The following is a 26,480-nucleotide window of genomic DNA, read 5'->3' as shown; positions in this document are numbered from 1 at the left end:
AAATATGAAATTGGCTCTTATGTGAATGAAGCTTAGGAAACAATATTCTGGTTCCTTGTTACTCAAAGTGGGTCCATAGACCAGCGGCATTAATATTACCCAAGAGCTTGTGAGAGATGCAGAATCTAGATCTACAGAATGAGCATCTGCATTTAAGAGTCCGTGGTGATTCATACACAGTTCATGTGCGCACTGTTTTAAAAGCACTGGTCTCTCTTATTTATCAGCAGGACATTGAAGACCCTTTCAGACTTGATCCGAGGGAAAGAGCCCCGGACTGGGAATACATGCTAGCTATAAAACTCTATAAATTGGGAACAGCTTGTGAGAACAGAAAGAAAAAAAAAGACTAATTTTGCAGAGCTTACAATCTCATAATTACAGAAGAGGAGACTGAAGTCCAGAGAATACGAATTCAAAATTGCACCATGAGATTGTGTTAACACAGGTTCAGGTCCACTCCAGGTCTTCTAACATCTTGGCCAGTGCGGGAGGGAACTGCGGATAACAAACAAAATTGCCATCAACAGTATGATGTGTTCACAGCCAAAGAAATGAAATGAAATAAAATTTCCAAAAATAAAGAAAATCAACTGTAAAAAAAAGATAGTATGATGTGGCTTTATAAAAATGATGATTAAAGACATTGCAAGGCAAGAAAACTACAGACTAATTTCTTTATTGAAATAAAGATGGAATATACATGGAAAACTCCTCAACAAAGTACTAGCAACACAAATCTAGCAACATACAAAAAGGATAAGACACTATAACCAAGTGGGATTTATTCCAGGAATGCAAAGTTGGCTTAATGTATGAAAATCCATTGATGTAATATATCATATCAATAGGACAAAGGATGAAAAACCATGATCATCTCAATAAATGCAGGAAAAGCATTTGACAAAATTTAATACCCTTTCATGATAAAAAAAAAAAAAACATTCAATAAACTAGGAACAGAAGGGAACTCCAGGCCGAGTGCAGTGGCTCATGCCTGTTATTCCAGCACTTTGGGAGGCCAAGGTAGGCAGATCACCTGAGGTCAGGAGTTTAAGACCAGCCTGGCCAACATGATGAAATACTTTCTCTACTAAAAATAAAAAAATTAGCCAGGCGTGGTGGTGCGCACCTGTAATCCCAGCTATTCGGGAGGCTGAGGCAGGAAAATCATTTGAACCCAAGGGGCAGAGGTGCAATGAGACAAGATCATGTCACAGCACTCCAACCTGGGTGACAGAGCCAGCCTCTGTCTCAAGTTAAAAAACGAAGGGCACTTACTCGATCTGATAAAGGCTATCTCAAAAAAAAAAAAAAAACCCACACCCAAAATATTTAATGTGACTAAAGGCATTTTTCTCCTAAGATCAGGAACAAGACAAGGATGTTTCATCACTTCTGTTGAAGATTGTATGGGAGGTCCTAGCCATAGCAATCAAGAAAAAGAAAAGACATCTGGACTGGAAAGGAAGAAGTAAAACTATCTCTATTTGCAGGTGACATGATCTTGTATATAGAAAATCCTAAGAAATCTAAAAACAAACAAAAACAAAAACCTATTAGAACTAATACGTGGACCAAGGGATGGTGGCTCATACCTGTAATCCCAGCACTTTGGGAGGCCAAGGCAGGAGGATCACCTGAGGCCAGGAGTTTGAGATCAGCATCATAGCAAGACCTCATCCCTACAAAAAATAAAAAATAGAACTAATAAATGAATTCAGTAAGGTTGCAGGATACAAAATCAATATAAAAAATCAATTGTATTTCTGTACTCTAGCAATGAACAGTACAAAATGAGATTTTAAAAAAATCCATTTACAGTAGCATCAGAAAGAATAAAATCCTTAGGAATAACTTTAACAAAAGAACTACAAAACTTGTAGAACTACAAAACTTATATTTCAACAATACAAAATATTGTTAAAAAAATTAAATAATACCCGTATAAGTGGAAACATATCCCATGTTCATGGATCAAAAGACTTAATATTGTTAAGATGGTAATATTCCCCAAATGGATCTACAGATTCAATACAATTTCTATCAAAATTCCAGCTGGATTTTTTTTTCCAGAAAATGACAAGCTGATCCTAAAATTCATATGGAATTGCAAATTGTCCCAAATCACCAAAAGAATTTTGAAAAAGAAGAACAAAATTAGAGAACTCACACCTTCTGATTTCAAATAATAGATTAACAGAACAGAATCAATAGTCCAGAAATAAACTCTTACTTTTATGATCAATTGATTTTCAACAAAAGTGCCAGTGAAGATATAATCACCTTTTTCACAAAGGGTGCTGGAACAACTGGATATGCACATCTAAAGAATGAAATTGGACCCCTAACTCATACCATATGCAAAATTAACTCAAAGTGAATGATACGGTTTGGCTGTGTCCCCACCCAAATCTCATCTTGAATTCCCATGTGTTGTGGGAGTGAGCTGGTGGGAGATAATTGAATCATGGGACAAGTCTTTCCCGTGCTGTTCTCGTGAAAGTGAATAACTCTTATGAGATCTGATGGTTTTATAAAGAGGAGTTCCCCTGCATAAGTTCTCTCTCTTTGCCTGCTGCCATCCATGTAAGACGTCACTTGCTCCTCCTTGCCTTCCGCCATGATTGTGAGGCCTCCTCAGCCATGTGAAACCATTAAACCTCTTTCTTTAGTAAATTGCCCAGTTTTGGGTATGTCTTTATCAGCAGCATGAAAACAGACTAATACAATGGATCATAGCCATAAGTGTAAAAGCTAAAACTATAAAAACTCTTAGAAAAAAATCACAGGAGTAAATCTTTATCACTTTGGGTTAAGCAATGGGCCCATAGATACCTAAAAGCACAAATGACAAAAGAAAAAATAGATACATTTAACTTCCTCAAAACTAAAAAACATTTGTAATACAAATGACATTATCAAGAAAGTGAAAAAGGCCAGGCACAGTGGCTCATGGCTGTAATCCCAGTACTCTGGGAGTCCGAGGCAAGCAGATCACCTGAGCTCAGGAGTTCAAGACCAGCCTGGCCAACATAGTGAAACCCTGTCTCTACTAAAAAGTACAAAAGTTAACCAGGCGTGGTGGCAGGCACCTGTAATCCCAGCTACTCGAGAGGATGAGGCAGGGCGAATTGCTTGAAACTGGGAGGTGGAGGTTGAGCTGAGATGCACCACTGCATTCTGGCCTAGGCGACAGAGCACAACTCCGTCTCAAAAAACAAAAAAAGAAAAAGAAAAAGAAAGTGAAAAGACACCCCATAGAACGGGGGAAAATATTTGCAACTCATACATCTGATAAGGAACTTGTATCTGTCAGAAGCGTGTGAACCAGAGCAACTCCATCTTAAACAGGAGCTGGGTAAAATGAGGCTGAAACCTAATGGGCTGCATTCCCAGATGGTTAAGGCATTCTAAGTCACAGGATGAGATAGGAAGTCAGCACAAAATACAGGTCATAAAGACCTTGCTGATAAAACAGTTTTCAGTAAAGGAGCTAGCCAAAACCCTCCAAAACCAAAATGGCCATGAGAGTGAACTCTGGTTGTCCTCACTGCTACACTCCCACCAGCACCATGACAGTTTACGAATGCCATGACAACATCAGGAAGTACCTTATATGGTCTGAAAATGGAGGGATGAATAATCCACCCCTTGTTTAGCATATCATCAAGAAATAACTATAAAAATGGGCAAGCAGCAGCCCTTGAGGCTGCTCTGTCTATGGAATAGCCATTCTTTTATTCCGTGACTTTCTTAATAAACTTGCTTTCACTTTGCACAGCAGACTCACCCTGGATTCTTTCTTGTGTGAAATCCAAGAACCCTCTCTTGGGATCTGGATCGGGACCCCTTTCCTGTAACATATCCAGAATATATGAAGAATTCTTACAACTCAATAATAAAATAACCAACTCAGTTTTTTAAATGGGTAAGGGATCTGAATAGGCAGTTCTCCAAAGAAGATATGCAAATGACTAAGCACATGAAAAGATGCTCAACTTCCTTAATCATGAGGAAAATGCAAATCGATGCCACGAGATACCACTTCACACCCACTAGGATGGTTATAAGTAAAAAAATTAAAAAATAAAAAAACAGATAGCAAGTGTTTACATGGTTATGAAGAAATTGGATCCCTCATTCACTGCTGGTGGGAATGTAAAATTGTGCATCCACTTTAAAAAATAGTGTGGTGGTTCCTCAAAATATTAAACATAACATTACCATATGACCCAGCAATTCCAATCCTAGGTGTACACCTAAGAGAAATGAAAACAGGCAGGGCGCAGTGGCTCACACCTGTAATCCCAGCATTTTGGGAGGCTGAGGCAGGTGGATCATCTGAGGTCAGGAGTTCGAGACCAGTCTGGCCAATATGGTGAAACCCCGTCTCTGCTAAAAATGCAAAAATTAGCCAGGCATGGTGGTGTGCACCTGTAATTCCAGCTACTCAGGAGGCTGAGACAGGAGAATCACTTGGACCTGGGAGGCAGAGGTTGCAGTGAGCCGAGATCGCGCCACTGCACTCCAGCATAGGTGACAAAAGCAAAACTCCGTCTCAAAAAAAAAAGAAAGAAAAAGAAAAGAAAAGAAATGAAAACATATGCTCACACAAAAATTTGTACACAAATGTTTATAGGACTATTACAATAGTCAAAAAGTGGGAACAACCCATTTGTCTATCAATGATGAATGGATAAATAAAATGTGATATATGCATACAGTGGAATATTATTGGCAATAAAAAGGGATACAGTGCTGCTACATGATACAACATTATGCTAAGTGAAAGAAGCCAGTCACAAAGAACTGCATATGTATGATTCCATTCATATGAAATGCCTGGCATAGGCAAGTCTATGAGGTAGAAAGTAGACTATCAGCTGCCTAAGGCTGGGGGAGGTGGGAGGAAATAGGAGTGGCTGCTAATCGCTGCATGTCTCTTTTCCAGGTGATGAAAATGTTCTAAACCTGATCGTGTTGGTTGCCAGCAACCCTGTGAATATATTAAAAATCATTGAATTGTACATTTTACGTGAATGAATTGTGTGATGTGGTAGACAGAATAATGTCCCCTTAAAGATGTCTATGTCCTGAACTTCAGAGCCTGTGAATATGTTAGCATACCTGGCAAAGAAGAATTAAGTTTGCAGATGAAATTAATTCAGTTGCTAATTAGCTGACTTTAAGACAGGAAGTTTAGCCTGGATTACCCAGGTAAGCCCAATGTAATCACAAACGACCTTAAAAGTAGAAGATGGAATATGAAGAGAGAACCAGAGAGGCAGCATCTTGAGAAAGACTCAGCCCAGTGTTGCTGGCCTTGAAGATGGAGGAAGGGAGCCACGAGCCGAGGAGGGCAGGTGGCCTCTAGAAGCTGGGAAGGGCAAGGAAATCCATTCTCCCCTAGGACCTTCAGAAAGAAACTCAGCCCTGCCAATACCTCGATCTTTGTCCAGTGAGATTTGTGTCACGCTTCTGATCCATGGAACAAGATAGTAAATTTGTGTTACTTTAAGTCACTAAGTGTGTGGTAATTTGTTGCAGCGTCAGTAGAAAACTAATATATACGGTATGTGAGTTATATGTAAATAAAGCTGTTTAAAAAAATGATTGTTTTCTTAGGTGGCATAAATAGAAGTATGACGTCTGGAAGGGTGGAGGTGATAGTCTCTTTGCAATCTAAGTGAGGCAGACTCCATCTGGAGCTCAGCTCTGAATGCCACACTGTAAGAGGAATGTGAAAAAAAACTGGGCAGGTCCCAAGAAAGGTCACCGTGATAGACGGTAAAAAGATTTGAAATGATGTTGGGTGAGAAACCATCAGAGAACCTGGGGGTGGTCAGCTTGGAGAAAGGAAGGCCTGTAGGTTGCCATCTGCCTGATCTTAATGGTTATGGTGGGACACCGAAGTGGGGATGAGTTTTTTGGGGACACCAGGGGGCAGACCTAGGGGCAATAGGGAGTGTTACCTGCAGACAGGATGCAGCTTGGGATAAAGACGAGCTTTATCCTTTGGTTTAAAAAATATTTTCCCCAAAATACGTGTTCATAAAAAATTAGGAAATATACAGAAGCAAAAAGAAAAAAACAAGCGAAACGCAGTGGCTCACGCCTGTAATCCCACCATTTTGAGAGGCCGAGGCCGGTGGATCACTTGAGGTCAGGGGTTTAAGACCAGCCTGGTCAACATGGTGAAACCTCGTCTCTACTAAAAATACAAAAATTAGCTGGCCGTGTTGGTGGGCACCTGTAATCCCAGCTACTCAGGAGACTGAGGCAGAAAAATCTCTTGAACTAGGGAGGCAGAGGTTGTAGTGAGCCAAAAGCGCACCACTGCACTCCAGCCTGGACGACAGAGCAAGACTCCGTCTCAAAAAAACAAAACAAGAAGAAAAAACAAATAATCACACACCACTGTGTTGTAAGTTATTCATGTTTCTAGCTGCCCTGCTCTGGGAAGGTAAAAACCATGTCTTTCTTCTTCATTGTTATATTCTCAGAGTCTGGCTCATGGTAGGTGATCATGGAATGCTTGTTGAATGAATACGCAATGCACACACCCACACTGACATTTTTAATTTATGAAAATGGGATTCTACTGTATATATTGATTGATAACTTGCTTCCCCCACCTCCATTACTAATATATTATGAGCCTCTTTCCAGTTCAATAAATATACATTTATATCAGGGATGTAATAGATACTGCCAGACTGCAAATAGAACTCTGGGGTCTGTAAACTTGAATGGGAAAAAATTATACCCTCATTTTCACTAAATTCTAACTGAAATTTCTCATTTCCTTCCATTTGAATATAAGCAACAAGCTACAGTAGCATTAACAGTATCTGTGACTTCACTACCATAGTGATTGTAGATATTTTTGTATCAAATTATCATTGTTGCAGCTATCTTGAAATACTGTTTACACTCATCACCGCTTTGAAATTACAGTGGTTATTACACCTGCCACTGCATCTTGTTAATGAATATATTAATAAGAAGCATGTATATTTCTACATAAGAAATTTTAAAATATTTTGATAACTGTGTTTTAAGATAATTGGTCTTCTCGGAAATCTTAAACATCTTATTTTATATGTTTAAAACTATTATTCCGAGAAAAGTTTCATGGGCTTCATCCAAAAGGCCCATGGCACGGCAAAGGTTAAGAAGTCCTGATCTATACCGTCATCTTTACTTTAAACTTTTTGTTTTGAAATAATTTTAAATTTATAGAAAAGCTACAGCCAGGTGCTTTGGCTCATGCCTATAATCCCAGCAGTTTGGGAGGCCGGGGCGGGCAGATCACCTGAAGTCAGGAGTTTAAGACCACCCTGGCCAACATGGTGAATGCCCGTCTCTACTAAAAATAACAAAAATTAGCTGGGCGTTGTGGTGAACACCTGTTAATCCCAGCTACTCGGGAGGCTGAGGCAGAAGATTCGCTTGAACCCAGGAGGCAGAGGTTGCAGTGAGCCGTGATTGTGCCATTGCACACCAGGCTGGGCGACAAGAGTGAAACTTCGTCAAAAAAACAAACTAAAAATAAAAATAAAAAAGACAGAGAGCTCCCATGTATTCCTCACTCAGCTTCCCCTAATGTCAACATGTTATATAACCATGGAATAGTCATCAAAGCCAGAAAATTAACATTAGTACAATATCATTAAGCAATCTTCAGATCTAATTGGAATTTTGCTTGTTTTTGCCCAACTGTTCTCTTTCTGTTCCAGGAGCCAGTCCAGGATCCTACGCTGTATTTCATTGTCATGTCTCCATGCTCTCCTCCAATCTGTGATAATTCCTCAGACTTTCCTTGTCTTTCATGACCTTGACACTTTTGAAAAGTACTGGTCAGTTAATTTGTAGTGTCCATCAATTTGAGTTTGTCTGATTTTCTCACAATTAGATTAAGCTTATGCCTTTTTGGCAAGCATAACCCAAGAGTGATATTATTCCCATCTCAGGGTGTCATATTAGGGACACGTCATGTTAATACATCTTATTCCTGTCCATAACGGCTGTAGAGCATCCATTGTATATTTAATAGGATGTAACATGTAATTTACTTCATCAGTCCCTTCCAGTGGACTTTTAGCTTCTTTTCTTTCTTTCTTTTTTTTTTTTTGAGATGGAGTCTCACTCTGTCACCCAGGCTAGAGTGCAGGGGCACGATCTTAGCTCACTGCAACCTCCACCTCCCTGGTTCAAGCGATTCTCCTGCCTCAGCCTCCCAAGTAGCTGGGATTACAGGTGTGTGCAATCACACCCAGCTAATTTTTATATTTTTAGTAGAGATGGGGTTTCACCATGTTGGCCAGGCTGGTCTCGAACTCCTGACCTAAAGTGATCCGCCCGTCTCGGCCTCTCAAAGTGCTGGGATTACAGGCGTGAGCCACCGTGCCCAGTATTTTAGCTTATTTTCACCTTAGGACTGTTACAAACAGTACTACATTGAACAGGATATTGTGTGATGGGCAGAGCTGCCTGGAGAAGCAAACAGCAACCAGGAGTGATGGTGCCCCTCTTGAGGCATACATCAGCAGGGTGGCACCAGATGCTGCTCCCGTTTCCTCACTGAAGAGCATCTGGTGACCCAAAACACTAACACAGTGCACATGGTCAGTAGTAAAGGATGCTTTCGTCCTCTAGCTCTCCACTCAGCCTCTCCATCTGCAAGGCAGGGCCTCAGCCCAGGCAGAGGGAAAAAAATGCTCTCCCAGCTAGGCCAGATCTGGTTAGTATTCTGAGCTCCTTGCTCTACTGAGGGCTAATTGCCCCTAAGAGCTGAGATCATTGGAGGGGAAAATGCAAAGTGACCTAACCTTTGCTGGGCTCAGCAAGCCAGCCAGCCTCTCAGCAGAAAGCGTTGGACTACCCTCACTGAGCCCCTTCTCCCTGCTATGATTGCTAATGGAGCAGGGTAGCTCAGCGTCCCAGCACCTGGTGGAAGTATGGCTATGGGGACTTCAATCTCAGCAAGGCTGGAGCTGCAGGGGAGTCAGCACTGAACCTTCTGGCTGCTGGGATCCTAGAATGCATGAAGTACAACCATTTAGGAAAACTGTCTGGCAGTATTTAGGAAAGCTAACCACATGCCCACTGAATGACCCAACCACTTCAGTCCTGGGTATATGCCCAAGAGAAATACGTGCCTATGTCTACCAAAAGAATGTTCACAGAAGCTTTATTCATAATTGACAAAACCTGGAAACGGCTCAAGTGCCCATCAACAGAATGGATATAAACAAATTGTGATATATTCATACACTGGAATACTATGTGGCATTTAAAAAACAAGCTACTGCTCCATGCAGCAACATGATGACTCCAGATTTTGTGTTGAGTGAGAGAAGCCAGACACAAGAGGTCATTCTGAACGAGTCCATGAATATGAAGTTCAAAACTAGGCAACTTTAAACTATGGTCATAGAAATGAGAATAATTGTTTCCCTTGGGAGGGGGATGGTATTGACTAGAAGGGGTCCATTATGAAGGATCCCTTCTAAGATGCTAGAAAGGTTCTACATCCTGATCTAGGTGGGTGTTCTGTGAGTGTATACCTAAGCAAAAATCCACCAAACTGTGCACTTGAGATTTTATGGTACTTAAGTTCTACTCTAATTTAACAATGACCAGCACAGAATGATGCGTGAGAGCCAGAGGCAGGCTCTGCTGGCATCGGGAGGTGGAAAGGGGGAAGGAAGGGAGTGATAGGTTCCAGCTCAGCCATGATTGGTACATGACCTGAGCAATCAGATCAACTTCTCCTTCTCCAAGTTCTTTTTTTTTTTTAATTTTCCCCCAAGATGGAGTTTCACTCTTGTCACTCAAGCTGGAGTTAGTGGCCAGTGGCATGATCTCAGCTCACTGCAACCTATGCCTCCCGGGTTCAAGCAATTCTCCTGCCTCAGCCTTCTGAGTAACTGGGACTACAGGCATGTGCCACCATGCCCAGCTAGTTTTGTATTTTTAGTAGAGATGGGGTTTCACCATATTGGCCAGGCTGGTCTTGAACTCCTGACCTCAGGTGATCTGCCCGCCTCGACCTCCCAAAGTGTTGGGATTATAGGCATGAGCCACCATGCTTGGTCAACTTCTCCAAGTTCTTCAGCTGAGGAGGGCACTGATGACACCTTGCTCCCTTGCTGATATTGTGAGAAACAAATGAGAAGATGCATGAGAAGTCACATTCTGAATTGGATGGTTCATATATTGATTCAGCCAACACGTGTTAAGCACGTGCATGTGCCTAGCACTGGACTGGGCACCTAGATCATGCAGACAGGTTAGACCTAGCCTTGTCTAACTCTCAACCTAAGCGGGGAGAAAGACAATCGACCCACAAACAAAGGAGCAATTGTGAACCATGATGAGGGTTACAGAGGAACCAACAGGTGCAGAGATGGCAAATAACCAAGGAGTGGAAGTCAGGAACCCATTGGGGTAGAGTCTGGGGAAGGCCATTCAGCAGAAACCCAAAGGACAGGGAGAAATCTGGCCCACAGAAGTTCATTGCATGTAGAAGAATCAGCAAACGTGAAGACCCCACAGCTGGAAAGAGCTGGGAGCGCTCAAAGAACTGAAGGAAGCTCTGTGTGGCTGGAGAGGACTCCAGCGCAGCTGGTCCATGGTGTGGGTAGGACATGCATAGTTTAGCGGGCAGGGAGAGTGCTTGGGATTCTACTTGAAGCTTACTGAGAAGACATTGGAAGGCTCTTAATCAAGACACGACACGATCTGATTTGTGTTTTTAGAAGATGACTTCAATACCTCACCAACAGCCAAACACAAACAATTACATTCAGGATGACTATTCATAGGAGATCCAAAATCTCACAAAACTAACCTGTGGTGAGAGATGTCAAAATATTAGTTAACTTTCAGGGTTGTGGCCTTGGATGGGGAGTGAGGGAGTAAGAGGGCCTGGAAATGTTTCATACATTGATCTGCATGGGATGTACAAAAATGTAAAAAGTCTTCAAGATGTATACACAAGATTGGGGCTCTTTATGGTGTAGTGTACTATTTGTACACCATACCTCAATTTAAAAAGCAAAATAAATTTTAAAATTAGGCTGTGTACAGTGGCTTACGTCTGTAATCCCAGCACTTTGGGAGGCCGAGGTTGGGAGATTCCTTGAGTCCAGGAGTTCGAGACTAGCCTGCAACATAGTGAAACCCAGTCTGTACAAAAAAATTACAAAAAATTAGCCAGGCATTGTGTCATGCGCCTATGGTCCCACCTCCTCAGGAGGCTGAGGTGGGAGGATGGCTTGAGACTGGATGGCAGAGGTTGCAGTGAGCTAAGATTGTACCATTGTGCTCCAGCCTGGGTGACAGAGTGAGACTCTGTTGATATGGTTAGGCTTTGTGTCCCCACCTAAATCTCATCTTGAATTATAACTCCCATAATTTCTATATATCAAGGGAGTGACCAGGTGGAAGTAATTAGATCATGGGGACGGCTTCCCCCATGCTGTTCTCTTGATAATGAGTGAGTTCTCACAAGATCTGATGGTTTTATAAGTGTTTGGCAGTTCCTCCTGCATAGATTATCCTTCCTGTGACTTGTGAAGAAGGTATCTTGATTCCTTCACCTTTCGCCATGAATGTAAGTTTCCTGAGGCCTCCCAATCCATGTGGAACTGTGAGTCAATTAAACCTCTTTCCTTTATAAATTACCCAGTCTCAGGCAGTTCTTTATAGCAGTGTGAGAACAAACTAATACAGTAAATTTGTACCTCAGAGAGTGGGGTTCTGCTATAAAGATACCTGAAAATGTGGAAGCAACTTTGGAACTGGGTAACAGGCAGAGGTTGAAACAATTTGGAAGGCTCAGAAGAGGATAGAAAGATGTGGAAAAGTTTGGAACTTCCTAGAGACTTGTTGAATGGTTTTGACCAAAATGTTGTTAGTGATATTGACAATGAAGTCCAGGCTGAAGTGGTCCCAGATGGAGATGAGGAACTCATTGGGAACTAGAGCAAAGGTCACTCTTGCTATGCTTCATTTTGCTGCTGACCTAGAGATCTGTGGAACTTTGAACTTGAGAGAGATGACTTAGGGTATCTGGCAGAAGAAATTTCTAAGCAGCAAAGTGTTCAAGAGGTGACTTGCATCCTCTTAAAAGCATTTGGTTTCATGCATTCACAAAAAGATGGTTTGGAATTGGAACTTAGGTTTAAAAGGGAAGCAGAGCATAAAAGTTTGGAAATTTTGCAGCCTGATGATGTGATAGAAAAGAAAAACCATTTTCTGAGGAGAAATTCAAGCAGGCTACAGAAACTTGCATAAATAATGAAGAGCCAAATGTTAATTACCAAGACAATGGGGAAAATGTCTCCAGGACGTGTCAGAGATCTTCACAGCAACCCCTCCCATCACAGGCCTGGAGGCCTAGGAGCTAAAAATGGTTTCATGGGCCAGGCCCAGGGTCTTGCTCCTTTGTGCAGTCTCAGGACTTGGTGCCCTACATCCCAGCCATGGCTAAAAGGGGCCAATGTACAGCTCAGGCTGTTGCTTCAGAGAGTGCAAGTCCAAAGCCTTGGTGGCTTACAGGTGGTATTGGGACTGTGGATACTCAGAAGTCAAGAATTGAGGTTTGGGAATCTCTGCCTAGATTTCAGAGGTTGTATGGAAATACCTGGGCATCCAGGCAGAGGTTTGCTGCAGGGATGGAGCTCTCATGGAGAACCTCTGCTAGGGCAGTGTGGAGGGGAAATGTGAAGTCAGAACCCCCACATAGAGTCCCCACTGGTGCACTACCTAGTAGAGCTGTGAGAAGAGGGCCACTGTTCTCCAGACCCCAGAATGGTAGATGCATGGACAGCTTGCACCATGCACCTGGAAAAGCCACAGACACTCAATACCAGCCCATGAAAGCAGCTGGGAGGGGGGCTGTACCCTGCACAGCCACAGGGATGGAGTTGCCAAAGGCTGTAGGAACCCATCTCTTGCATCAGTGTGACCTGGATGTGAGGCATGGAGTCAAAGGAGATAATTTTGGAGCTTTAACATTTGTCTGCCCCACTGGATTTTAGACTTGAATGGGCCTGTAGCCTCTTTGTTTTGGCCAATTTCTCCCATTTGGAATGGGTGTATTTACCCAATGTCTGTATCCCCATTGTATCTAGGAAGTAACTAACTTGCTTTTGATTTTACTCATAGGCAGAAGGGACTCGCCTTGTCTCAGGTGAAACTTTGGACATGGAGTTTTGGGTTAATGCTGGAATAAATTAAGACTTTGGGGGACTGTTGGGAAGGCATGACTGGTTTCAAAAAGTGAACAGAACATGAGATTTGGGAGGAGCCACGGGCAGAATGATGTAGTGGAAGGAACCAGGGGCAGAATGATATGGTTAGGCTTTGTGTCCCCCACCCACATCTCATCTTGAATTGTAATCCATATAATCCCCACGTGTCAAGGGAAAGACCAGGTGGACGTAATTGAATCATGGGGGTGGTTCCCCCATGCTGTTCCTGTGATACTGAGTGAATTCTCCTGTGATCTGATGGTTTTATAAGGGGCTTTTCCCCCTTCGCTTGGCACTTCTCCTTCTGCTGCCCTGTGAGGAAGGTGGCTTGCTTCCTCTTCATCTTCTGCAATGATTGTAAGATTCCTGAGGCCTCTCCTGCCATGCTGAACTGTGAGCCAATTAAACCTCTTTCCTTTATAAATTACCCAGGCTTGGGCAGTTCTTTATAGCAGTATGAAAATGGACTAATAACCCCTGTCTAAAAAAAAATTAAAATTAACTGACAGTTTTACTGGCTAGCATTATTTTTTAAAGTAAGGTTTACTGGGATGTAATTTCCATACAATAAGATTCATCCTTTTAAAGTGTGCACTTGGGTGAGTTTTGAAAGACATAGTTACCAGTATACTCACCGCCACAATCAAGATATTGAATATTTGGCTGGGTGCAGAGGCTCACGCCTGTAATCCCAGCTACTCGGGAGGCTGAGGCAGGAGAATAGCTTGAGCCCAGGAAGTGGATGTTGCAGTGAGCTGAGATCGTGCCACTGCCCTCCTGCCTGCACTTGAGCCCAGGAGTTCGAGACCAGCCTCGGCAACATGGCAAGACCCCATCTCTAGACACAACAACAACAAAAAGATATTGAACATTTCTCTAGCCCCAGAAAGTTGCCTGTGCCCCTTTGCAGTGGATCCCCTCCCCGTTCCCTAGCCCCTGGCAACCACTGATTTCATTTCTGTGCCTGCAGTTTGGCTTTTTCCAGGTTGTCATTAAACAGAATCACCTGGTATTTAGCCATTGGAGTCTGCTTCCCTCACTTTACAGAATGCTTTTGAAATTAATTCATGTCATTGTGGACATCAGTCGTAGGTTTCTTTTCCCTGCACCTAGTATTCCAACATATGGTCGAACTGCAATTTATTGATCTATTCGCCAGTTGATGGACCTTTGGGTTGTTTCTAGTTCAGGGCAATTATGAATAAAGCTGTTATGGCCGGGCGTGATGGCTCACACCTGTAATCCCAGCACTTTGGGAGGCCGAGGCGGGAGAATTGCTTGAACCCAGGAGGCAGAGGTTGCAGTGAGCCAAGATCATGCCACCGCACCACAGCCTGGGCGAGAGAATGAAACTCTCTCTCAAAAAAAATAAATAAAATAAATCTGTTGCAAACATTTGTACACAGATCTTTGATAGACATGTGTTTTTATTTCTCTCGACTAAATAAGTGCACATTTAAGGTTAGAAGAAACTGCCACCATGTTTTTCAAAGTGGTTGCCAGGCACTAAATACATTATCTCATTTTATTCTCAGAATAGAGGAGGTAAGTGAGGCTAAGAGAGCCTAAGCAACTTTCCCACAGCCCCCTGGTTAGTGAGAGGATCCCAGAAACCCTCACTACCAAGCTCCTCCAGAGACCATGCACATGAGCAGGGCTAGGCTCAGACAAGTCCTAGATGAAAAATTAGGACCATGATGGAGGAGACAGTGGTGGGCCACATTACCCTTCCAAGTAAGATCAAATGAAAGAAGAAGAAGAAGAAAGAGCCAGGTGACATGAAAGTGGAGAAAATTACCAGTTACAAGCAAAGCATTAATTCACTAGAAGCCAGCCGTTCTCTTCTGCTCCCAACATCCCTCGGTCCCATGGCAAGTTTTCAAATTAAAGTGCTGAAGGCCCCCTCTCTCCTCTTCCTTCCAGGTGGCCAAGGTTGGCAGGACTGGATGTTGTGGCATGAATATTGTCTGGAACCAGCAAACCAGTAGCCCCACCCACCGCTAGCCCCAGACAGCCCTGGAGCCTGCCAACTGGGAGGTGGCACCGCCACCCTGAGACAGGTCTGACCCCTGCAGGCCCACCAGGAGAATGGAGGTTAATGAGATTTTGATGAACCCGCAGTTTCCATTTTGTGAGGGAAAAGGCTCTGAGCCCTGCTCATTAAAGGGAACTGACCTGTAAAATGAGCCTGGGGATAGATGGCAGGGTAGCAAGGCCAGCCAAGAGAGGAAGGGGGAGAGATGGGACCCCAGCAGCCTTGTTGAAGCATTCTAGCTGGATGGAGAGAGCAGGCCCAGAGAATGGAAGAGATTTTTGCCCAAGGACACACAGCAAATCAGATTAGACCTGGGTCCTGGAAGGGGTAAGGGGATTGGAGGAGAAAACCTGAGAAACAGGGAGATGGGTAAAGAGACAGACAGAGGGAAATCCACTGACTGTGTATTACATAATAATGTCTACCATTCACTGAAGGCCTACTCCATGCCAGGCACTGGGCTTAGTATTTGTCATCCCATTGTCTCATTTGATCTTCACAACTCTAGGAGCTAGGGATTGTTACCCCCATATGGAGAAACAGGTTCAGAGAAGTTAAGTGACTTGCCCAAGGGCACTAAGCCAGCCAGGTCTACCTGATTCCATGCTCTTGATCACCTGCCCCAAGCTTGGGGTGACCCTAGGTTCCATTTGACACATGCCATCCTGGAAGAGTGCCACTTTCACCGTCCAAAGTGACTCAGTTTAGGAAAAATATTGTATGACTGCCCTACCTAGCCTGCATCTTATAAATTGCTTCCTGTGTGGCACGTGTAGCCCAAGATGCAACACACAGCGTGTGCTCAACAAATAGTCAAACCTAGATAAGATGCCATTTTTGTTACATCTCAAAATTGAGGCAGTAGAGCACAGTGGTAAGAGACTTGGGCTCTGGAGGTAGCCAAACCTGGGCTCAGCCCCACCTGCTTGACCTTGGACTAGTCACTTGGCCTCTCTGAGCCTCAGTGCACTCATCTGTAAAGTGAGGATAACCAAGGATTCTTCCCAAGGTTACAGGGATGCCATGAAAAGAGGGGTAGAAGGTACCAACATAGGTTTGCTCTGACTACCCGGCAGATACAGGATTTTAGCCTCCATTTTTTCTGGAGCACAGCATGGATTTCCACGGCATGTACCCAATCTGTGTTTGCCCTGGGATAAAGCCTGTTCCTTTGTTGACTTCGATGACTTACTTTGCAGTTGCCTGCTCTAGTGCCTTTGCACAGGCTGGGGCTTTTTGTTTGCTTACAATAGTGCTGTCCAGGCACCATTGTAGCATATTATCTATGTAAACCCACTTAATCCTCACAATAATCCTCTGTTTACAAATGAGAAAATTAAGGCACAGAGAGGTTAGTTAACTTGTTCCAGGATCACTCAGCTGGCTAGTGACAGAGCTGGAATTTGAACCCAATCAGTCTTGCTTAAGAGTCTAGCCTTTCCAGCACCTCCCTCTGTCCTGGGGGTGCTATCCCACTCCCACCACTGACCCCACCTCTGCCTTTGCCTGGATAACTCCTACCCACCCTTTGTGCCTTTGTTGTAATACCATCTCCTCCAGGAGACCCTCCCTGACTGCTCAGCCTAAATCACAATTCCCACCCATGCCTATAGAATAATTGCTCACCCCACTCTCCCCGTTTCTTCAGAGCTAAATTCAGTGTGTTATTCTCTATTTATCTGATGATTTGCCTTCCCTGCTAGACAGTGCATTCCAGGAGGGCAGGAGCTATTTGTATATTCTGAAACAGTAGCAGACACATTGCAGATGCTCAATAAATATTGGTTGAAGGAGGGAAGGAATGAATGAAAGAGGAAGAGGAGGAGGGGAGGAACTAGAAGCCCCTAGTTCCCAGGCCCTAGGAGCTGCATCTGACGGTGTTTCATTGTTCTGGGATCCCGGCCAAGGATCTGCGTGGTACATGGTGGGACCCTCGTACTTATGACTGACTGCATCAGTAGCCCGGCAGACCCAACCCCCCAAGCCCTGGGGCTCAGGGAGGCCCAATTGGGCAAGGCCTAGTGGCAGGCCCAGGGCAGGTAGGGACCAAGCCCTCGATAGCCACAGCCTTTCCTCTCTGGCTAAATCCTCCATCCCCCAACCCAACCCGAGCCCTCCCTTCTCCCTTCTTCTTTTCCTTTCTGAGATGAAGCAGTGAAATGATTTTTCTACTTGAACAGTTTTCAATTAAGATTAAGAAAAATGTGGTCTGCAGTCACTCGGCAAGAGGCCCTGGCAGCCCTGTCCCTTCAGGGACTGGGGTTTTCTAAGCCATTGACAGAGCTGATTCTGGAATGAAGGGAGTTTGAAAGAGACTTCTCACACCCTCTGCCTTCCCCCGACCCAACCCTCAGCCTCATGACTTGGCCTCCTACTATCTTTCTGGGTAAGGGCCTGGGATCTGGAATCAGACAGATCTGGGTGGGTTCAGGCTCTATCCCGTGCAAACTGTTTAACCTCACGCAGGTCCTCTACCTCTCTGAGCCTTCTTTCTTCATCTATAAAGTAGGTCAATGGCAAACCCTCTCAAATGGTCCCTGCTTCCCACCCAGATCAAAGGGTCCCCTCCTGGTCTCCCAGACTGTGGAAGAATAAACAGCAAGGGTGACACAAAGATGTTTAGCTGGGGTAGGACAAGGTGGGCCGAGCCTCCGAAACCCCAGGGCCAGGGCAGAAAAGAGGAGACAGAGGCTGAGAGTGAGGGAGGCTTAACTGATACAAGAATACAAGAATAGATGGAAGTGGGCTGGGCGCAGTGGCTCACACCTGTAATCCCAGCACTCCAGCCTGGGAGACAGAGCAAGACTCCATCTCAAAAAAAAAAAAGAAAAAACAATAGATGGAAGTGTCCAGGGTGACTCTCAAAGGCTTGACTCAGAGGTCAATCAAGGCCAAAGAGAAGGGCAGGGCTTCTATGTGTGTCATTGGGCAGAGGAGGAAGGAGACAGAACTCTGAGGCCACTTAATTCCCTTCTAATTCTGAAATCTTTATGACTAGGGTAGATTCTATGCTGTTTGAGAATGTTGCTTTTCAAAATGGAAGTCGCTTTTTTTTATGCAGATGAATGAAAGGCATGTACCAATTGTAGTTAATCCCGGGGTCAGGCACACCCGGGTCTCTTTTCCTTCATCTCCCGTCAGTAGTTTTTTGATCCTGGGCAAGTTACTCAACTTCTCTGAGCCTCTCCAAAATAATGTATAATTTTCATACTCCTGTAAAAAATTCTTTTGTAAATCGGCTTTATTGGAGTGTAATTTACATATGATAAAACTCATTCATTTAAAGTGTACATTTCAGTGAGTTTTGAAATTTATACAACCATGGAACTACCACCATGATCAAGAAAATAAGCTTTTTAAAAATTTTTTTGAGACCGAGTCTCACTCTATCACCCAGGCTGGAGTGCAGTGGTGCAATCTCGGCTCACTGCAACCTCTGCCTCCTGGTTTCAAGCAATTCTCCTACCTCAGCCTCCCAATTAGCTGGGATTACAGGCACCTGCCACCATGCCCAGCTAATTTTTGTATTTTTACTAGAGATGAGGTCTCGCCTTGTTGGCCAGGCTGGTCTTGAACTCCTGACCTCAAGTGATCCACCTGCCTTGGCCTCCGAAAGTGCTGGGATTACAGGCATGAGCCACCGTGCCCAGCCTACGAAAGTGAACATTTTAATCATCCTAAAACATGCTCTTGTGCCCCTTCCCAGTCCTTCTGTTTCTTTTAATATAAAAACAATAAGTTATTCAGCCCCCATGACAACAAATTTCGGCAACAAATAAGCATCCAGGAAGGTGTTCAGTGCATACTGTGACTTTGCCCATCTGCTCCCTGCCCCCTGCTCACACAGAGACACTGTTATGTGGGCCCAGTGACACAACTGTCCCTTGTTAGGAGGTATAGCATGTGATGGTTCCCCCAACACCAACTGCCAGTGGTGAGCCACTAGACAGCCTGTCTTTCCCCACAGGGACAATAGCAGCTGGCACGGGGCTCCCTAGACCACTCACTGCATGTCTTCCTATCCCAACACCTCCATGAGGCTGTCAGCCTCTCCAGGGAGGACCTGTGTCTGCCTCGTATCATTCACTATTGACTCCTCAGTGCCCAACAGGTGCCTAGCACACAGTAGGTGCTCAATAAGGGGGTATGGAATGAATGAATGAGAAGGGGGCTGCCAGCCAGAGGACCCCGATGAAGTGTGAGGAACATCAAATGCCTCATGGGAGGTGAAAGTCCCACTTTGCCAAATGTCCCACCTGGCTACTGTTATTTAATATTCTTTAAATTAGCTCAACTAGTTTTTATTCTCTCTACCTTTGCCTCACCTTAAGAAATCAGATCCGTCTGTAACCCTAGCACTTTGGGAGGCCAAGGCGGGCAGATTGCTGAGGTCAAGAGTTCCAGACCAGCCTGGCCAACATGGCAAAACCCCGTCTCTACTAAAAATACAAAAATCAGCCAGGGGTGTTGGCACATGCCTGTAATCCCAGCTACTCAGGAGGCTGAGGCAGGAGAATTGCTTGAACCCAGGAGGTGGAGGTTGCAGGGAGCCGAGACCCAGGCCTGCCAATTGTATGCATTCTGCCATGTTTGTTTTATCATTCTCTCTCTCTTGCTCTCTCTCTATATTTGTACTATATATATGTATAGTTATTTTTTTTTTTTTTTTTGGAGATAGAGTCTCATTCTGTTGCCCAGGCTGGAGCAAAGTGGCAAAATCTCAGCTCACTACAACCTCTGCCTCCCATGTTCAAGCGATTCTCCTGTCTCAGCCTCCCAAGTAGCTGGAACTACAGGTGTTTGCCACCATGCCCAACTAATTTTTGTATTTTTAGTAGAGATGGGGTTTCATCATGTTGGCCAGGCTGGTCTCAAACTCCTGAACTCAAATGATCCTCCCACCTTGGCTTCCCAGAGTGCTGGGATTATAGGCATGAGCCAACATGCCCCATAGTTAGACAGAGTCTCACTCTGTTGCTGAGGCTGGAGTGCAGTGGCTCTGCCTTATCTCACTGCAACCTCTGCCTCCCAGGTTCAAGCGATTCTCATGTCTCAACCTCCCAAGTAGCTGGGATTACAGGTGTGTGCCACCACATCCAGCTAATTTTTGTATTTTTAGTAGAGACAGGGGTTTCTCCATGTTGGCCAGGCTGGTCTCAAACTCCTGACCTCAGGTGATCCACCCACCTCGGCCTCCCAAAGTTCTGGAATTACAGGCCTATTTTTCTAATATGCATGAAAATCAATACTGCACTAGATTGTATAATTATTCAACAATACTCACGGCCCCTCCTTACCAGGTGCCTCCCTGCAAAGGTGTATGCTTCCCACCTCGTCACCATCAGATCTGGCCATATGACTTGCTTTGGCCAATGAAATTGAGCACAACTGTTGGATGCCACTTCTGAATGGGAGCTTTAAGAGCCATTGTGGGGTTCTGCTGTTGTTCCTTCTGCTGCCGTGTTACTAGCACGCTCTAGGCAGGGCCACCCCTTCAAATTGGTTCCCAGAATGACAACGTGGAGCAGAATCAAGGCAGACCCAAAGCTATCTGATGGCCAAGTAGCATGTGCAAAAAATAAATCCTTATTGTTGAAAGTCATTGAGATTTAAGGGAAGGTCATTTGATACCCAGCATAAGTTTATTTAAGTTGATGGATAAAAAAGTTTCACTCTTAAAATAAAAATTTTATGTACCACCTGCAAATATACAGCAAATTTGAGAAACATAGCATTAGCCATGGTGACCCAAAAATGTATAGTTGAGTATCCCCATTTAATAGAGGAGGAACCTGAGGCTTATAATGGTTAAGTAGTTTGCCCAAAGCCTCTCTGCTAGACAAGGCAGCAGAGATGATTCAGGGTACCATTCTCTAGGGGTCTCAGTCTAGTGGACAGGTAATGGAATTTTCCTTTGGCAAAATAGCTCTGTCAGAGATGTCTCTCCTGGACAGTCTTTTCTTCTCTCATAGCCCCCTTGTGCTCCAAGACCACCAAGAGCCCCTCCTGGCCCCATTCCTGAAAGTTCTTCTCGCAGATGAATGCCAGATGATTCCCGTTAAGGAGTTAGCTGCTAACTACAGGTGTTAACTGCTAATGAAAGTGCCAGCACTAAGATATTAGCTAATAAGGATTAACACCTTTCAGAGTGTTGGTATATTAATAAGGGACCTAGGAGGACCAAAACGATTTCAAAAGCCAGAGGAACAGAACCCAAAAGGTGGCAGAAGAATTTGGTTCAACAATTCTTTCTGCCCCTACTGCGAACTGGGTCTTGAGCCAAGACATGCAGCCAACGTGTTGCATATACATAGAGCTTTGCAGTCTACAGCACTCAGCAGCTTACAAAGCACTTCCTCATCCATCACCTCCCCTGCTCTTCACATCAGCCCAGTGAGGTAAGCTCTGCTAGCCCCAGTTCACTGATGAGAAAGCTGAGGCTCAGAGAGAGGGAGTGAGTTACTCAAGGTCGCATGGTAGTGGGTGACAGACACTGGACTTGCTCCCCGGGCTGCCTGACTCCCAGCCCAGTGCTCCTTTCATGACCCCCCAAGCCCCCAGCACAAGTAGAGAAGAAACCACTGGGGGCCAGACCATCTTCTCCCTTCTTGGACCTAAAATTGACTCTGACCCTAAGGAGTCAGGGCCAAGAACAGTGAATACCCATTTCTACAGGGCTCCCTTTCCTAGCTAAACTTCCATTCACCTTTTTAGACTCAACTCAGATAGCGCCTCTTCCTGGAAGCCCTCCCAGATGGTCATAGGCGGCCTCTTTTGGGGCTGCCACAATATACAGGGCGTATCTTGATCCTACACATTGCCTTAGAATCACTGTGTCCCCAGTGCCACGCAGGCAGCACAGAATGACAGAAGCTGCTGTAAATGCTTGTTGAGTGGATCAATTAATTAATGACTCCGTATTTTTCAGAACAAACTCATCAAAGTGAATTCCACTTACTACCCTCCAAGACAAGATTTATACAAAATGTGGTCACTTTAAAATGAAACAAGAGATGAGCTATTCCCATTTCTTCAAAGCCCTATTAATATTTCATTAGCTACCAGAAGTAGTTGATATTTGTATCTTTGTGTGTCTCTGTGTATAAGTATGTGTATAGACCGTATCTGCCCACCTAGCATTTCTAAAATATGTTCTTTGGACCAGTGAGTGCTGCAGCATAGGAATAGGGTACTATTGGGGGGAAAAGAGGCAGATTTCATGGCCAGATATGTTTGGAAAGCCCTGGATTTAAGATGTATCCATTGCAGGACTTCTCAGAGCCTTTAAGGGTGGCATTTATTGGGCATTTACTATATTCCAGGCAGTGTGCTAAGCACTTTACATTCATTACCTCATTAGCTTATATTCCTCTAGAATGTAAGCTTCTTGAGGACTGACACCATGTCTGTCTTGTTCACCAGCATATCCCTGGAGACTGACACACTGTATCTACTCAATTAATGAATAAATTAACAAATGAATAAATGGCCCTGTAAAGTACATATTGTTACTATTCCCATTTGATAGAGGAGGGAACTGAGTCTGACTACAGAGCCTGGGCTTTTTAACTCTGTTGCTGCTCGTCTTCACTGTAGTAACATGCCTGGCAGATCTGCGGGACAGAGTTCTTGCCTACAGCATTTCCAAGCCTGATTTGCCTAAAAACCTTTTTCTGAAGAAGTATCTTGCAGAATAGGATCATGAGGAACATACCCTAGGAAATGATCCTCTGGGCTCTGCAAGCTGGGTGAGCAGGCCTCCTTGTCTCTGATTTGTCTCCCTAGATGACAGTGCATACAGACTGCAGGGCAGGAGGGAGGGAGAAGCAGGGTATTTTTCTGCTCCCTCTACTCAGGGCAAGGTCTCCACTAGCTGCATCTCCTCCCTGGTTTCTAGTCTTTGGAAAGGCAGCCTCTCCCTCTGTGGTTCCAACTCCTTCTAGGTAGCCCCAACTCCTGGGCTCTTTCTTGTAACGTTGCTTCCTCTTTTGGCCAGGTACGGAGGCTCACGCCTGTGAGCACTTTGGGAGGCCGAGGTAGGAGGATTGCTTGAGCCCAGGAGTTTGAGACCAGCCTGGGCATATGGAGAAACCCCATCTCTACAAAAAATACAAAAAACTAGCCGGGCGTGGTGGTGCATGCCTGTAGTCCCAGCTGTTCAGGAGGCTGAGGTGAGAGGATCGCTTGAACCTGGAGGTGGAGGCAGCAGTGAACTGTGATCACGCCACTGCACTCCAGCCTGGGTGACATAAGGAGACCTGTCTTGAAAAAAAATCACTCCTGTCTTTGTTCCTCCAGTCTTGGGGTTCTTTCTCTCACAGCATCCCATTTACTTGTGCAGCACCCACTAGTCCAAAGAGGATGCCTTCGTCAAATGGTGAATATGGTCTGTAGCATCTTTTCTGCTATTGATAATCTCCAGCCACTGCACTTTCAACTCTTCCAAACCACTGTCACGATTTTGCTAGATTCATGCTCTCCACTGAGCTGCCTGATGCAACACTGACTAATACAACCACCTAAAACAGTAATAGCAATAATTTCACAAACATTCACTCAGCATCATGAATGTGTTAGCTCATTTGATCCTTGTAACAATCCCATGAGAGGTATTCTAATTGCCATCACCGTACTATGGATGAGTAAACTGAGTCCTTGGGAGGTGAAGTAACCTGTTCCAGGTCATACAGTTCATGAATGGGAAGCTGGGATGTGAGCCAAACACACTGGGTCCAGAGCACTATTCCTACCCCCAACCCCCCAGATAACAGTAATAGACAGTTCCTGGGGGTCAGGAAGATCAAACAGAGCCCTTTGTGCCTTTCAGTTCCTGGAGCACAGTAGAGTTCTAGAGGCCTTTCTCCTTGTCTGGTAGTGAGCTTTTCAGCCCTGGAGGTGTGCAAGAAGGGATTGCAGCACTTCTTCACATGGTATTTAAAGGGAACCTCCTTTCATTTGGTCCCCTTCACTAAACCAAAATGAAAAATATTAAATTTGAAAAAAAAATGGAAGCAAACCTCCTAGCAGTGGTCATCCAGGTGAACCAGATGGTGTTTAAGGCTCCCCAGGCTTCTCTTCCCAGTCCCCTGAAAGATGAAGCCACTTGTAATGTCATCAAGACAGGGTCTTTCGAGATCCTGATGAAATACCACCTCTGCTATGAAGCTGCCCCAGGGGCCCCAGCAGAAAGGAGAATTCCCTTTCTGTCACTCAGCATGGCTTTTTATCTCTGCTGTATAGAGCCAAGCTTGCATTATCAGGTTTGTGTTTGGGTCTTCTATGGCCTGCTGGACTGGAAGCTCAGGGAAGATAGAAACTGACGCCAATGCATAGACCTCCTTCTATAGCCCAATCCAGTACCTTGTATGCTATAGACACTCAATAAGTGAATAAGTGTTGGGTGAATAGATAGACAGATAGATGGAAGGATGAGAAAATTTTAAAAAGGAAGAAAGAAGGAAGGAGAGAGAGAGAAATGGGATAGGTGGATGGGGGAGGAGGGATGAGCAAATATGGATGGATGGATGGACAGATGGATGATGAAAGTATGGATCAATGGGTGGATGAAAAGATGGATAGATAGAAGAATGTATGTATGGATGTATGGATGGATGGAAGGATGGGAAATGCATATAGATGGCTAGACAATAGATTGATTGATAGATGTGAGAAGGTGATGGATAGAATGAGTGGATAGATGGATGGATGGGAAGATGGATAGATGAAAGGATGCATGGATGGATAAATGAAGGGATGCATGGATGGATGGATGGATGGATGGATGGATGGATGGATGGACTGGGTAGATAGTTAGATAAACGTATTTATAGAGACTGTGAGGTGTTGTGCAGTAGACACTCTAGAATTTCTATGTGGGGCCCACAATCTGCCTAGAAGGTGGGCTTGCCACCATATTTGCAGAACACTTTACATAAGATTGAGAAACTAGCTATTGCCCATGTGAATGAAATGAGAAAGAAGTGACAGAGATTATGGAAGCCTAAAACCCCTGCAGCTGCCACTGCAGGTGTGACCATAATCACCTAAAATAGTAAGATTCTGAAAATCTGTGGCCCTAAGAAGATTCAAAGGTTTTAAAGTTCTGTGTCTCTAAAACTTAGACTTGAAGATTCTGTGTCTTTAAGAACTCTATATCTACCAATATGAGCAACATGCTCTGTGCCGGGCATTGTTCTAAGCACTTTAGATACAAAGATTAGTTCCTATAATCCCCACGGCCACCCGTGGTCTAGACACTATTACACTATTACCACCCTCATAATGAGGCACAGAGATGCTGAGGTGTTTGCCTTAGATAACACAGCTAGTAAGTGGCAGAACTGGGATGTCAACCCAATCAGGTTAGGCGGGATCCAGAGTCCCCGCTTTTAACCACCACACAATCCTGCCTCAAGGAATGAAGGATTGTACGCATCTAAGTTTCGAAGATTCAGTGCTCAAGACTTGAAGAGTCTGCAATTCTGAGGCTCTAAGCGTCTCCACACCCAGGACTCTTCAGACGCTGAGGGAGAGAAAAGGAGAGAGAGTCTGGCTGGCTCCTACGAACACCAGCCCTGCTGATGTCAGGCACCTGGCTGTCACTCTTCCTGTTAACCTTGGGGAGAAAAACACATTTGTGGCAGATAACAGGCATGAGGGTGTGCCGGCCCTCCACTCACTCCCGGGCCTGATGGATGGGCTACATGGGCCCCCCCGACCTGTGTGTGTACTGTTATCTGCTCAGCCAAGGGAAGCTGTTCATCATGCCGACAGCTTGGCGAGGCACACCTGCTGGGACTGCGTCAACCAGAGCCACCAGCATCCTGGGAGGAAGAAGGGGAGGTGATGGGGGGCAGTAGGGCAGGGGAGACACAGAGAAAAGGGCCAAGGGCTCAGTATCAGTACCAGAGGGTGGCACTAAATTCTGGGTACCATGGATGTGCTGTGTGACCACAGACTAGTCACTTAACCTCTCTGAGCTGTAAAATAAGATTAAGCTTTGCCAGAAACCTGGGGGTTGTACTTTCCTCCTTCTCATGCTCCACATCCAATCACCAGGTTCTGTCCATTCTACCTCCCAGTCTGTCGTGATCCTACCCATTTCTTACCAACAACTCTACCGAAACCACCTTGGTCCAGGCCACCATCATCTCTGCCTGGATGATGCTACAGCCTTCTCC

General features: G+C 44.6%; 1 annotated feature.

Annotated features, from left to right (window-relative positions):
• Positions 15,258–15,410: a silencer, noted in NCBI's record as "fragment chr20:36280377-36280529 (GRCh37/hg19 assembly coordinates)". NCBI's record gives its function as "represses an EF-1alpha promoter that drives an FKBP-Casp9 reporter gene in an ReSE screen in HepG2 liver carcinoma cells {active_cell/tissue: HepG2}" and the evidence as "EXISTENCE:reporter gene assay evidence [ECO:0000049][PMID:32094911]".

Source organism: Homo sapiens, chromosome 20 (assembly GCF_000001405.40).
Source record: "Homo sapiens chromosome 20, GRCh38.p14 Primary Assembly".
NCBI lineage: Eukaryota > Metazoa > Chordata > Mammalia > Primates > Hominidae > Homo > Homo sapiens.
Note: the sequence above shows the minus strand (reverse complement) of the source record. Positions and strands in the feature narration are given on the sequence as shown.